The sequence below is a fragment of the Homo sapiens genome, chromosome 9 (genome assembly GCF_000001405.40).
Source record: "Homo sapiens chromosome 9, GRCh38.p14 Primary Assembly".
In the NCBI taxonomy this organism is placed as follows: Eukaryota; Metazoa; Chordata; class Mammalia; order Primates; family Hominidae; genus Homo; species Homo sapiens.
Window position 1 is genome coordinate 15,647,830 of NC_000009.12, and position 12,288 is coordinate 15,660,117.

Genomic DNA, 12,288 nt, shown 5'->3' on the forward strand with positions numbered 1-12,288 from the left:
TGGTACCATTCCTTTTGAAACTATTCCAATCAATAGAAAAAGAAGGAATCCTCCCTAACTCATTTTATGAGGCCAGCATCATCCTGATACCAAAGCCTGGCAGAGACACAACAAAAAAAGAGAATTTTAGACCAATGTCCCTGATGAACATTGATGCAAAAATCCTCAATAAAATACTGGCAAACCGAATCCAGCAGCACATCGAAAAGCTTATCCACCATGATCAAGTGGGCTTCATCCCTGGGATGCAAGGCTGGTTCAACATACGCAAATCAATAAACGTAATCCATCACATAAACAGAACCAATGACAAAAATCACATGATTATCTGAATAGATGCAGAAAAGGCCTTTGGCAAAATTCAACAGCCCTTCATGCTAAAAACTCTCAATAAATTAGGTATTGATGGGACGTATCTCAAAATAATAAGAGCTATCTGTGACAAACCCACAGCCAATATCATACTGAATGAGCAAAAACTGGAAGCATTCCCTTTGAAAACTGGCACAATCCAGGGATGCCCTCTCTCACCATTCCTATTCAACATAGTGTTGGAAGTTCTGGCCAGGGCAATCAGGCAGGAGAAAGAAATAAAGGGTATTCAATGAGGAAAAGAGGAAGTCAAATTGTCCCTGTTTGTAGATGACATGATTGTATATTTAGAAAACCCCATCGTCTCAGCCCAAAATCTCCTTAAGCTGATAAGCAATTTCAGCAAAGTCTCAGGATACAAAATCAATGTGCAAAAATCACAAGCATTCTTATACACCAATAACAGAGAAGCAGAGAGCCAACTCATGAGTGAACTCCCATTCACAGTTGCTACAAATAGAATAAAATACCTAGGAATAAACTTACAAGGGATGTGAAAGACTTCTTCAAGGAGAACTACAAACCAGTGCTCAACAAAATAAAAGAGGATACAAACAAATGGAAGAACCTTCCATGCTCATGGATAGGAAGAATAAATATCATGAAAATGGCCATACTGCCCAAGGTAATTTATTGATTCAATGCCATCCCCATCAAGCTACCAATGACTTTCTTCACAGAATTGGAAAAAACTACTTTGAAGTTCATATGAAACCAGAAAAGAGACCGCATTGCCAAGACAATCCTAAGCCGAAAGAACAAAGCTAGAGGCATCATGCTACCTGACTTCAAACTATACTACAAGGCTACAGTAACCAAAACAGCATGGTACTGGTACCAAAACAGAGATATAGACCAATGGAACAGAACGGAGCTCTCAGAAGTAATACCACACACCTACAACCATCTGATCTTTGACAAACCTGACAAAAACAGGAAATGGGGAATGGATTCCCTATTTAATAAATGGTGCTGGGAAAACTGGCTAGCCATATGTAGAAAGCTGAAGCTGGATTCCTTCCTTACACCTTATACAAAAGTTAATTCAAGATGAATTAAAGACTTAAATGTTAAACCTAAAACCATAAAAACCCTAGAAGAAAAGCTAGGCAATACCATTCAGGACATAGGCATGGGCAAGGACTTCATGACTAAAACACCAAAAGCAATGGCAACAAAAGCCAAAATTGACAAATGGGATCTAATTAAACTAAAGAGCTCCTGCACAGCAAAAGAAGCTACCATCAGAGCGAACAGGTAACCTACAGAATGGGAGAAAATTTTTGGAATCTACTCATCTGACAAAGGGCTAATATCCAGAATCTACAATGAACTCAAACAAATTTACAAGAAAAAAACAAACAACCCCATCCAAAAGTGGGTGAAGGATATGAACAGACACTTCTCAAAAGAAGACATTTATGCAGCCAACAGACACATGAAAAAATGCTCATCATCACTGGCCATCAGAGAAATGCAAATCAAAACCACAATGAGATACCATCTCACACCAGTTAGAATGGCAATCATTAAAAAGTCAGGAAACAACAGGTGCTAGAGAGGATGTGGAGAAATAGGAGCATTTTTACACTGTTGGAAGGACTGTAAACTAATTTAACCATTGTGGAAGACAGTGTGGCAATTCCTCAAGGATCTAAAACTAGAAATACGGTTTGAGCCAGCCATCCCATTACTGGGTATACACCCAAAGGATTATAAATCATGCTGCTATAAAGACACAGGCACACGTATGTTTATTGCGGCACTATTCACAATAGCAAAGACTTGGAACCAACCCAAATGTCCAACCATGATAGACTGGATTAAGAAAATGTGGCAGATATACACCATGGAATACTATGCAGCCATAAAAAAGGATGAGTTCATGTCCTTTGTAGGGACATGGATGAAGCTGGAAACCATCATTCTGAGCAAACTATTGCAAGGACAAAAAACCAAACACCGCATGTTCTCACTCATAGGTGGGAAATGAACAATGAGAACACTTGGACACAGGATGGGGAACATCACACACCGGGGCCTGTCGTGGGGTGGAGGGATGGGGGAGGGATAGCATTAACAGATATACCTAATGTAAATGATGAGTTGATGGGTGCAGCACACCAACATGGCACGTGTATACATATGTAACAAACCTTCACGTTGTGCATATGTACCCTAGAACTTAAAGTATAATAAAAAAAAGAAAAAAAATAAATTATAGCCATGTAGTGGGTGTGAAGGTATCTCTTCATGTTTTTAGTTTTCATTTCCCCAGTGACTAATAGTTTTGAGCATTATTTCGTACAGTTATTGGTCATTTACATATCTTTTTTAGACAAATGTCTAAGTCCTGTACTCATATTTTGAGTTGTCCTTTTATCGTATGATTTCTTTTTTTATTCTGGATACTAGAACGTGCTCAGATATATGATTTGTAAGTATTTTCTCCCATTCTTTAGGTTATCTTTTCATTTTCCTAATAAAGTCCTTTGATACACATGTTTTTTGTCTTTTAGTTTTAATTTTGTATTGTTACATAAAATTTATATATATTTATGGGGTACATGTGTTTTTTTTATGTGCATAGAATGAAATTATCAAGTCACTAGTTAGGCTATTCATCATCTTGAACATTGATCATTTCTATGTGTTAGGAATATTTCAAGATCTCTCTTCCAGCTATTTTAAAATATACAATACATTGTTGTTAACTGTAGTCACCCTACTCTGCTATCTAACTTTAGGACTTATTCCTTCTAACTGTATGTTTGTACCCATTAGTCAATCTGTCTTCCCTGCCACCCACACCCTGACACCCTTTCCAGCCTCTGATAACTATCCTAACTGTCATTCTACTCTCTACCTCCTTGAGATTAACTTTTTTTACTTTTATTTTTTAATTTTTTAGAATTTTTTTTTTTTTGAGATGAAGTCTCACTGTCTCACCCAGGCTGGAGTGCAGTGTGCAATCTCCACTCACTGCAACTTCCACCTCCCGGGTTCAAGTGATTCTCCTGCCTCAGCCTCCTGAGTAGCTGGGATTACAGGTGCCCGCTACGACACCTAGCTAATTTTTGTATTTTTAGTAGAGACAGGGTTTTGCCATGTTGGCCAGCCTGGTCTTGAACTCCTGACCTCAGGTGATCTGCCTGCCTCGGCCTCCCAAAGTACTGGGATTACAGGCGTGAGCCACCGTGCCTGGCCTATAGTTTTTTTTTTTTAATAGAGATGAGATCTCACTTTTTTATAGAGATTTTGCTCAGACTGGTCTTGAACTCCTGACCTCAAGCAATCCTCTCACCTCAGCCTTCCAAAGTGCTAGGATTACAGGCATGAGCCACCATGCCCAGCCGAGATTAACTTTTTTAGCTCTCACATACGAGTGAGAACGTGCGATATTTGTCTTTTTGTGCCTGGCTTATTTTACTTAACATAATGACCTCTAGTTCCATTCATATTGCTGCAAATGACAGCATTTCACTCTTTTTTTTATGGCCAAGTAGTATTCCATTGTGTATATATAACCCACTTTCTTTATTCATTTGTTGATGGACACCTAGGTTGATTACATACCTTTGCTATTGTGAATAGTGTTGTAATAAGTTTTTAATTTCTATGAAGTTGTTTGTTTGTTTGTTTGTTTGTTTATTTATGCTTGTGCTTTTGCTATCTGAGAATCCATTGCCAAATCTAAGGTCATGAAGATTTTTGGATTTTTTTTGAGACAGGGTCTTGCTGTATTGCTGAGGCTGGAGTGCAGTGGCATGATCTCAGCTCACTGAAGTCTCAACCTCCTGGGCCCAAGCCGTCCTTTCCACTTTAGCCTCCCAAGTAGCTGGGACCATAAGTGTGCCTCACCACACCCGGCTAATTTAATTTTTTTGTAGAGACCAGGTTTGACTATGTTGCCCAGACTATAAAGATTTACCCCTATGTTTTCTTCTAAGAGTTTTATGGTTTTTAGCTCATATATTTAGGTCATTGATCCATTTAGAATTTATTTTTTTATATGATATGAGGTATGGGATCCAAATTTATTCTTTTGCCTATTTATATCCAATTGTCTCAGCATCATTTAATGAAAAGATGAATCTTTTCCATTGAGTGGTGATGGCACCATTGTCAAAAATAAATTGACCACCCATTCATGAGTTTATTTCTGGACTGTCAGTTCCTTTCTGTGGATCTATATGAATCTATATGTGTATCCTTTTGCTGGTACCACATTGTTTTGATTATTGTAGCTTTTTTTTTTTTTTGAGACAGAGTCTGGCTCTGTCACCTGGCTGAATCTTTGCTTACTGTAACCTCTGCCTCCCAGGCTCAAGCCATTCTCTCACCTTAGCCTCCCTTGTAGCTGGGTTTACAGGTGGCCACCACCACACTTGGCTAATTTTTGTTTTTTGTTTTTGTTTTGATAGAGACAGGGTTTTACTATGTTGCCCAGGCTGGTCTTGAACTTCTGTGCTCAAGCTGTCCACCTGTCTTGGCCTCCCAAAGCACTGGGATTACAGGCGTGAGCCACCATGCTCAGCTGATCACTGTAGCTTTGTAGTGAGTTTTGCAATTATGACATATGTCTTCCATCTTTATTCTTCTTTTTCAAGATTGTCATGTTAACGTTTTGATAAGTCTTTAGTAAAGAAAATTGTTTGGCTTAATTTTGTGTTTCTCACATGCTTCTGATGATGTAATTGCTTTTTTATATAATAGCTAAGAACATCCTGTGGGACTGGTATTCTGTGGAAACATTTTTTGAGAAGGGTGGGAAAAAAGTGACTATGTGGGGAATATTTTCTTTGCCTTATCTTATCACGTCAGCAATATATGTAGGAATAGTTTGAGTTAAACTCCCACTTCCCATTTACTTTTTCTGTTTAGTCGTGAAAGTCTTAATTCATTCTAGTGGTTTTTTGTTGTTGTCATTGTGAAAATATATACCTATATATTTTTAGCTGGGGTCTCGTTCCTCTTGCCTAGGTTGGAGTGCAGTAGCACCATGACAGCTCACTGCAGCCTTGATTTCCTGGGCTCAAGTGATCCTCCCACCTCAGCCTCCCAAGTTGCTGGGACTACAGGTGCACATCACCATGCCTGGCTAATTTTTGAATTTTTTTTGTAGAATTGGTGCTTCACCATGTTGCCCAGGCTGGCCTTGGACTCCTGGGCTCAAGTGATCTCCCTGAGTTGGCCTTCTGAAGTGTGGGGATTACAAGTGTGAGCCACTGTGCCTGGCCTAATTTTGTTAATTGGGTAAATAATGATACCATTGCCATACTACCCCCTTAACTTTAATAACTTTGCTTTTGTTGTTTAAAAAATGTTTCTCAATATGGAAAATTTCACACATACATGAAAGTAGAAAGAATATTATAGTGAACCAAGTGCCTATGATTTAGCTTCAACAGTTATCAGCTTATGACCAATCTTATTTTATGAACACTAACCCCCACCCCTAACTCCCAGTTTGATTATTTTAAACCATATCTAGACATTATATAGTTTCATCCCTGAACACTTTAGTATGTATTTTTTAAAAGATAAGGGTTTATTTTATTTATTAATTAAAAAAATTTACTTAGTTAATTCTTTTATAGAGATGCAGTTTTTCTCTGTTGCCCAGGCTGGTCTCAAACTCTTGGCCCCAAGCAGTCCTCTCACCTCAGCTTCCCAAAGTGACGGGGGCCACTGTGCCTGGCCCAAAGATTGGGGTTTAAAAAAATTCTAATCATTATCACACCTAAAAAGTAATAATAATTCCTTAGTTACATCAGATATCCAAATGTCCTCATTTCTTGGTTTTCAGAGTGTTTTGAGTCTTCAGACAAAACTGTGAATATTTACTAGTTTCACCTTTCAGCGGAATGCCTGTTATTTTTAAATACTCTAGTAGTATAAATTATAAATGTCAGATTTTATTCAAAGTATTATTTTATCCTTTGGATTTAAATTACCTTGAGACCCAAAAGGATCATATTTGGATTTATTGCTTTCTGTAAAAAAAAAAAACCAAAACTATTTTCTAGTATAATAGCTCATTAAGAAATATTTTCCATAGGGTTGTAGAATCTAAATAAAGCAAATAGTTCATTGTAAAAGAATATTTTGTGATTTTCATGTTTGCAAAACACAGAGTGATTATATCCTGAAGCAGGATTACTCCATGACTGTGAAGGCCATCAGAACCAGGTGCATCTACAAAGGCCTCTAGAGAAGAAGGGATGTTTGTGTTTATGCTCTGCACTATGATAGTCATTATGGGAATGATTTGCCCAGAAAGAAGTATAGTCATTTCTAAGTTATTCACAGACTGCTTGATTAGTTTGTGGATTATTCAGTTTTTATTTCTATTTCTTTTCATTGTGATCCATTACCATCTTTGTCTGTAAACAAAAAGAAATGGTGGGAGAGAAGGAAAGTCAGATTAATCAAGTTGAACATTAATAAAAACTTGGCTAAGGGGGTGGAGCCAAGATGGCCGAATAGGAACAGCTCCAGTCTATAGCTCCCAGCGTGAGCGACGCAGAAGACGGGTGATTTCAGCATTTCCAACTCAGGTACTGGGTTCATCTCACTGGGGAGTGTTGGAAAGTGGGTGCAGGACAGTGGGTGCAGTGCACTGAGCGTGAGCCGAAGCAGAGTGAAGGATATGAACAGATGAGTTCATGTCCTTTGTAGGGACATGGATGAAGCTGGAAACCATCATTCTGAGCAAACTATTGCAAGGACAAAAAACCAAACACCGCCTGTTCTCACTCTTAGGTGGGAATTGAACAATGAGAACACATGGACACAGGAAGGGGAACATCACACACCGGAGCCTGTTGTGGGGTCGGGGGAGCAGGGAGGGATAGCATTAGGAGATATACCTAATGTTAAATGACGAGTTAATGGGTGCAGCACACCAACATGGCACATGTATACCTATGTAACTAACCTGCACATTGTTCACATGCACCCTCAAACTTAAAGTATAAAAAAAAAAAACTTGGCTTAGGGTAAATGGTTTAGTAAATATAATGAATATTAATTTATTTTTTCGCCAAATTTCATCTAGGAAGGGAAATCAAATTAGTAATGCCTTTTTCTGTCCCTATTGAACTACCCCATTGACAGATAGGACTCTAGGCATGGCTTTTCTTTGCTACTGTTATGTTGAGACATGCTGGATGTTCCCATAGTTCTGTTTTTCTGTCCCGAACAGATTCTTGGTCATGACCGATTCCCTTTTTGGGACTAGTAATCCGCTACTTCCCAGGGGTGCATTTTCTGAACAAAAATTGTATTCAAAAATAAAGATCTTGACTTCTGCTTCTGTCCAGAAACTGACTCTTGCCTGAAAAACTGATAAATTAGACTTCATCATAATGAAAAGTTTTGGTTTGCAAGTGATACTGTTAAGAGAAGGAGAAGACAGGACGTAGACTGGGAGAAAACATTTGCAAATCATGTATCTAACAAAGGACTTGTTTTCAGATTGTATAATGAACTTTTAAAGCTCAGTAATACGAAAATAAACAGCTCAATTAAAAAATGGTGAAAATATTTGAACATATACTTCTTCAAAGAAGATACACAGTTGGCAAATAGGTACATGAAAAGATGCTCAGTGTCATTAGTCATTGGGGCAATGCAAATTAAAACTAAAATGAGATAACCACTACATGCCTATTTGATTGTCTATAAAACCTCAAGAAACCAAAAACAGAAAATGACCGTAGCAAGTGTTGGTGAGGATGTGGAACAATGGAAAATTTCAAAAATTGGTGTTAGTAATCTAAATTGGCACCATCGCTTTGGAAAACAGTGTGGCAGTTTCATAATATTCAATATGGCTGGGTGCGGTGGCTGACGCCTGTAATCCTAGCACTTTGGGAGGCCGAGGCGGGCAGATCACGAGGTCAGGAGATCGAGACCATCCTGGCTAGCACGGTGAAATCCCGTCTCTACTAAAAATATAAAAAATTAGCTGGGCGTGGTGGCCGGTACGTGTAGTAGTCCCAGCTACTTGGGAGGCTGAGGCAGGAGAATGGTATGAACCCGGGAGGTAGAGCTTGCAGTGAGCCTAGATGGCGCCACTGCATTCCAGCCTGGGTGACAGAGCGAGACTCCGTCTCAAAAAAAAAAAAAAACAAATCAATATGTACCTGTCATTTCACCCATTCATTCCATTCTTCACTATTTACCCCAGAGAAATGAAAGTGTGTGTCTCTACAAAGTCTTGCACACAAATGCTCATAGCAGCTTTATTTGTAATTGCCTAAACTGGAAACAAGTCAAATGTCCATCAGTAGGTGAACAGATAAACCAATTGTGGTCTATTAATAAAGTGGAACACTATTTAACAGTGAAAATGAATGAACTATTGATGCATGCAACCACATGGATGGGTCTCAAAATAATTATGTAAGGGGAAAGAAGCCTGGCAATAAAAAGCATAATATATGATTCAATTTATATACAACTCCAGAAAATGCAAACCTCTCTGTAGTGACAAAAAGCAGATTCGTGATTACTTGGGTATGTGGTGGGGTGGTGAGGGCTGGAGGAAGGCATTACCAAGAGACATAAGGAATCTTTTAAGAGTGATGGAAATGTTTCCTGTATTGATTGTGGCAGTGATTTAATGGATGTGTACGTGTTTGTGTGTGTGTGTGTATAAAAATTTATCAAAAAGTATATTTTCACTATGTGTAGGTTATTATATGTAAGTTATACCTCTATAAAGTGTAAAGAAAAAAAAGCAGGCTCTGGAAGCATTCTTCCTGAGCATGAATTTTACATTCCATTCTTGCAAAGAAAAAAAAAAATGAGGCTGCAAGTCCACTAATCTAAAGTGTTAATTATAATGCTGGACTGTAGTGATCCATATCTTCTTTAAATACCAATGTTTATGAATTTAAACTTTTAATTTGTTTTCAGGCAACTACTCTAAGAGTGAGGAAATTAGAAGAAAACATTGAAGCAGAAAGAGCAGCGCATTTGGAATCAAAATTTAATTCTGAAATTATTCAGGTAAAATGTAAACAAATATTTTGGCCTGCATTTTCTTAATTTGTGTTATAACAGCTGGGAAAAACAGCACTGTGTTCAGAGAACGAAGGTGTGCATTGAGAATGGGTAACATATTGTTATGACACTCATTATTGTATATAAGGTTAGGATACAGTTGAGATATGCTACCTTAGTGGAGGAGTTGGCACACTATAGCCTACAGGCCAGGTCTCACCCACTGTCTGTTCTTGTGAAGTTTTGTCTTGTCCATAGCTACTTTTGTGGCAGAGTGGAGTAGTTGTGACAGAGAACTTACCTGGCAGTCTGCAAAGAAATTTGCAGATTGGAGTGTTCTTTTACGGCTGTGGGATGGATTTCTTTTTGAGAACGTTGAAAAAATGTGCATGTTATTTATTGAGTGCATATCCTATGCATATCACTGTATTAAGAGCTGAAGGTGTAAAGATGAATGAGCTCCTTTTGTAACTTACATTTTGTTGTCAGAGATACTATATATCTATCTCCAGATATATAGATGCTTACATAGAAGTACAAAATACTGAAATACAATGGGAATATAATAAAGAAAAGGATTAAATCTGGGAGGGGAATTAAATGGAGGCCTCCTAAGGAAATTATCCTTTTTGCTATGCTTTAGAGAATGAGAAGGAATTTCTAAGAGAAGTGAGAGCAGGGCATTTTATTAGGGGTTGGCACACTACTGCCCATGGGCCAAGTCTGACCTGCAGCCTTTTTCTGTAAAGTTTTATTAGAAGATAGCCATGCCCATTTGTTTACATATTGTTTATGGGTGCTTGTCGAGACAGACCTTATGGTCCACAAAAACTGAAATATTTACTCTGTGGCCCTTTACAGAAAATGTTTACTGACCACTGTTCTGAACAACTGCTTGGATAAAGCCACTAAATAAAATGTACTTGTTTATTTTTGAGGAATACTTGCAGTGTTGAGTGGTAGAGCTTAGGGAAAAGTTTGGAGATAATGGTGGGAAGGCATGATGAAGACTAATTATGGAAGTCCTTTTTCGTGCTAAGAAACTTAGACTTATTTTGAAAGCAATGGAAAGCCACTGCAGCTTTTGGGACAGACAGATATGAAATCTAAGTTTAGGAAAATAACTCTGGTGCCATATTGGTAGATAAAGGAAGGGAGTGAAGATAGGAGGCTGGGTGAAGAGATGATGAACACCTGAATCAAGACAACGACTGTAGCAATGGAAAAGAGGGCTCCTGTGGCAGAATAACAGTCCCTCAAAGATGTCCACATCTGCCCTTATCCTCAGAACCTGTGAATATGTTACCTTACATGGCAAATGGGACTTTGCAGATGTGATTTATTTGAGGATCTTGAGATGGGAGTTTGTCCCAGTTTATCTAGTTGAGACTGATGTAATCATAAGAGTCCTTATAACAGGGAGGCAGGAGGGTCACAGTCAGAGGCAGAGATGTGATGACAGAAGCAGAGGTCAGAGTAGGTCACCATGAACCCAGGAATGTGGGTGGCCTCCAGAAGTTAGAAAAGGCAAGACAAGATTTCTTCCCTAGAGTCTCCAGAAGGAATGGAGTCTTGCTGACACGTGACTTTAGCCCCAGAAGACCCATTTCAGAATTTTGACCTCCACAACTGTAAGATAATACATTTATGTTGTTTTAAATTGCCAATTTGTGGTAATTGGTAATAGCAGTGATTGGAAAGGTACAGGGGACAAACTGAGAATGCATGATTTTAGGTAACTAATTTGCAGTGTGAGGGGAGGGAAGGAGCAATAGAAGAGAACACCAAGGTTTGCAGTATGTGTGAAAGTGGGCAGATGCAGTTGACTGTCAAACTCTGAAGTCTGAAGAGAGACAATGGTAAGTTTTGAACATGTTGACTTTGAGGAGCAGTTTAAGAGGTTCATAGTGCCCTTTGAGGATATGGTCATGCAAAGTTACCTGAACAATGTACATTTACTCTTGACATCCTGCTTTTTGTGAACAGATCCTTTCTTTATATTCTCTCAAGCAACTGCCGGTAGCTTATCTTGGATCAGCCAGTTTCCCAGGTGTTAGGAAAGTTAAGGAAATTACATAGGAGGAGATTTGTTGGACCTGCTACTTTCTTGATTTTAATATTTTATAGACAGTTATGACTTTTCGCTTAAATGTTTTCTCAGCATTTGATAATATGCTTTAAAATCTAATAAATATGGTATTTGTTATGCTTCTGTTAAAGAGATTAACTTTAATGAAGATTGTATACCTATAATAGTATTTTTGTTTGCTTAAATCTAGGAAGGTAGAAAGTATCTTTATGAACTTAGATTCTCAGTATAAACTGTTAAGATGTTCTTATTTCATGTTATTTAGCTGGTCAGTTATTACATTTGAGCACTACTTTGTGAACAAATGTAATAGACTGTATGAAAATAAAATATATGCACTTATTTCCAGAAGAAAAAGTAGTTTTAAGCTTATTTGGCTTTAGCAAGTTTGAAAATCATCTCACTTTATTTGTGCTCTTGAATTTCATATCAAGTAGGATGGTGGGATTGCCAAAATCAGTAAATGAAAAGTAGCTATAAGCAGATAGATTAAAACTAGTTTAGACTAAAAAAGTTATTGCCTTGATTTAGGTGTTTATTATCTTTTCACCCAACCTCCTATCACCACTCCGTTACTTTATTTGCCAATGTTAGTTACCAGAATTATTTTTCTAAAACTTAGATTTGATATCTACATCAAAGGCTACTTATATTAAAAGCTACTGCTTTCAATATGTCTAAATTACTTAATTTAATTTACATTTTTAAAGACTTACACTTTTTTCCTATCTTGTTTTAATTAATGCAATTTATAGTGTTTTACCTTATTGTTTAAAGAACTCCCAATGTAAGATACAACTGTATTTGTAAAGATT

The 12,288-nt window shown here is 37.8% G+C and overlaps 1 protein-coding gene across 35 annotated transcripts in view; it reads left to right on the top strand.

The window, feature by feature from the left end:
* CCDC171 (coiled-coil domain containing 171) overlaps window positions 1–12,288 on the top strand; it is a 556,042-nt gene that overhangs the window by 94,945 nt on the left and 448,809 nt on the right. For all 35 annotated transcript variants that reach the window (XR_007061261.1, XR_001746227.3, XR_001746228.3 and 32 more), the window contains one exon: window positions 9,298–9,390. Coding sequence is in view for 30 of the 35 variants with exons in the window: in XM_047422930.1 (XP_047278886.1) it covers window positions 9,298–9,390 (93 nt within the window). In the remaining 5 variants the exon portion in view is untranslated. The remainder of the gene's footprint in view (window positions 1–9,297; window positions 9,391–12,288) is intronic.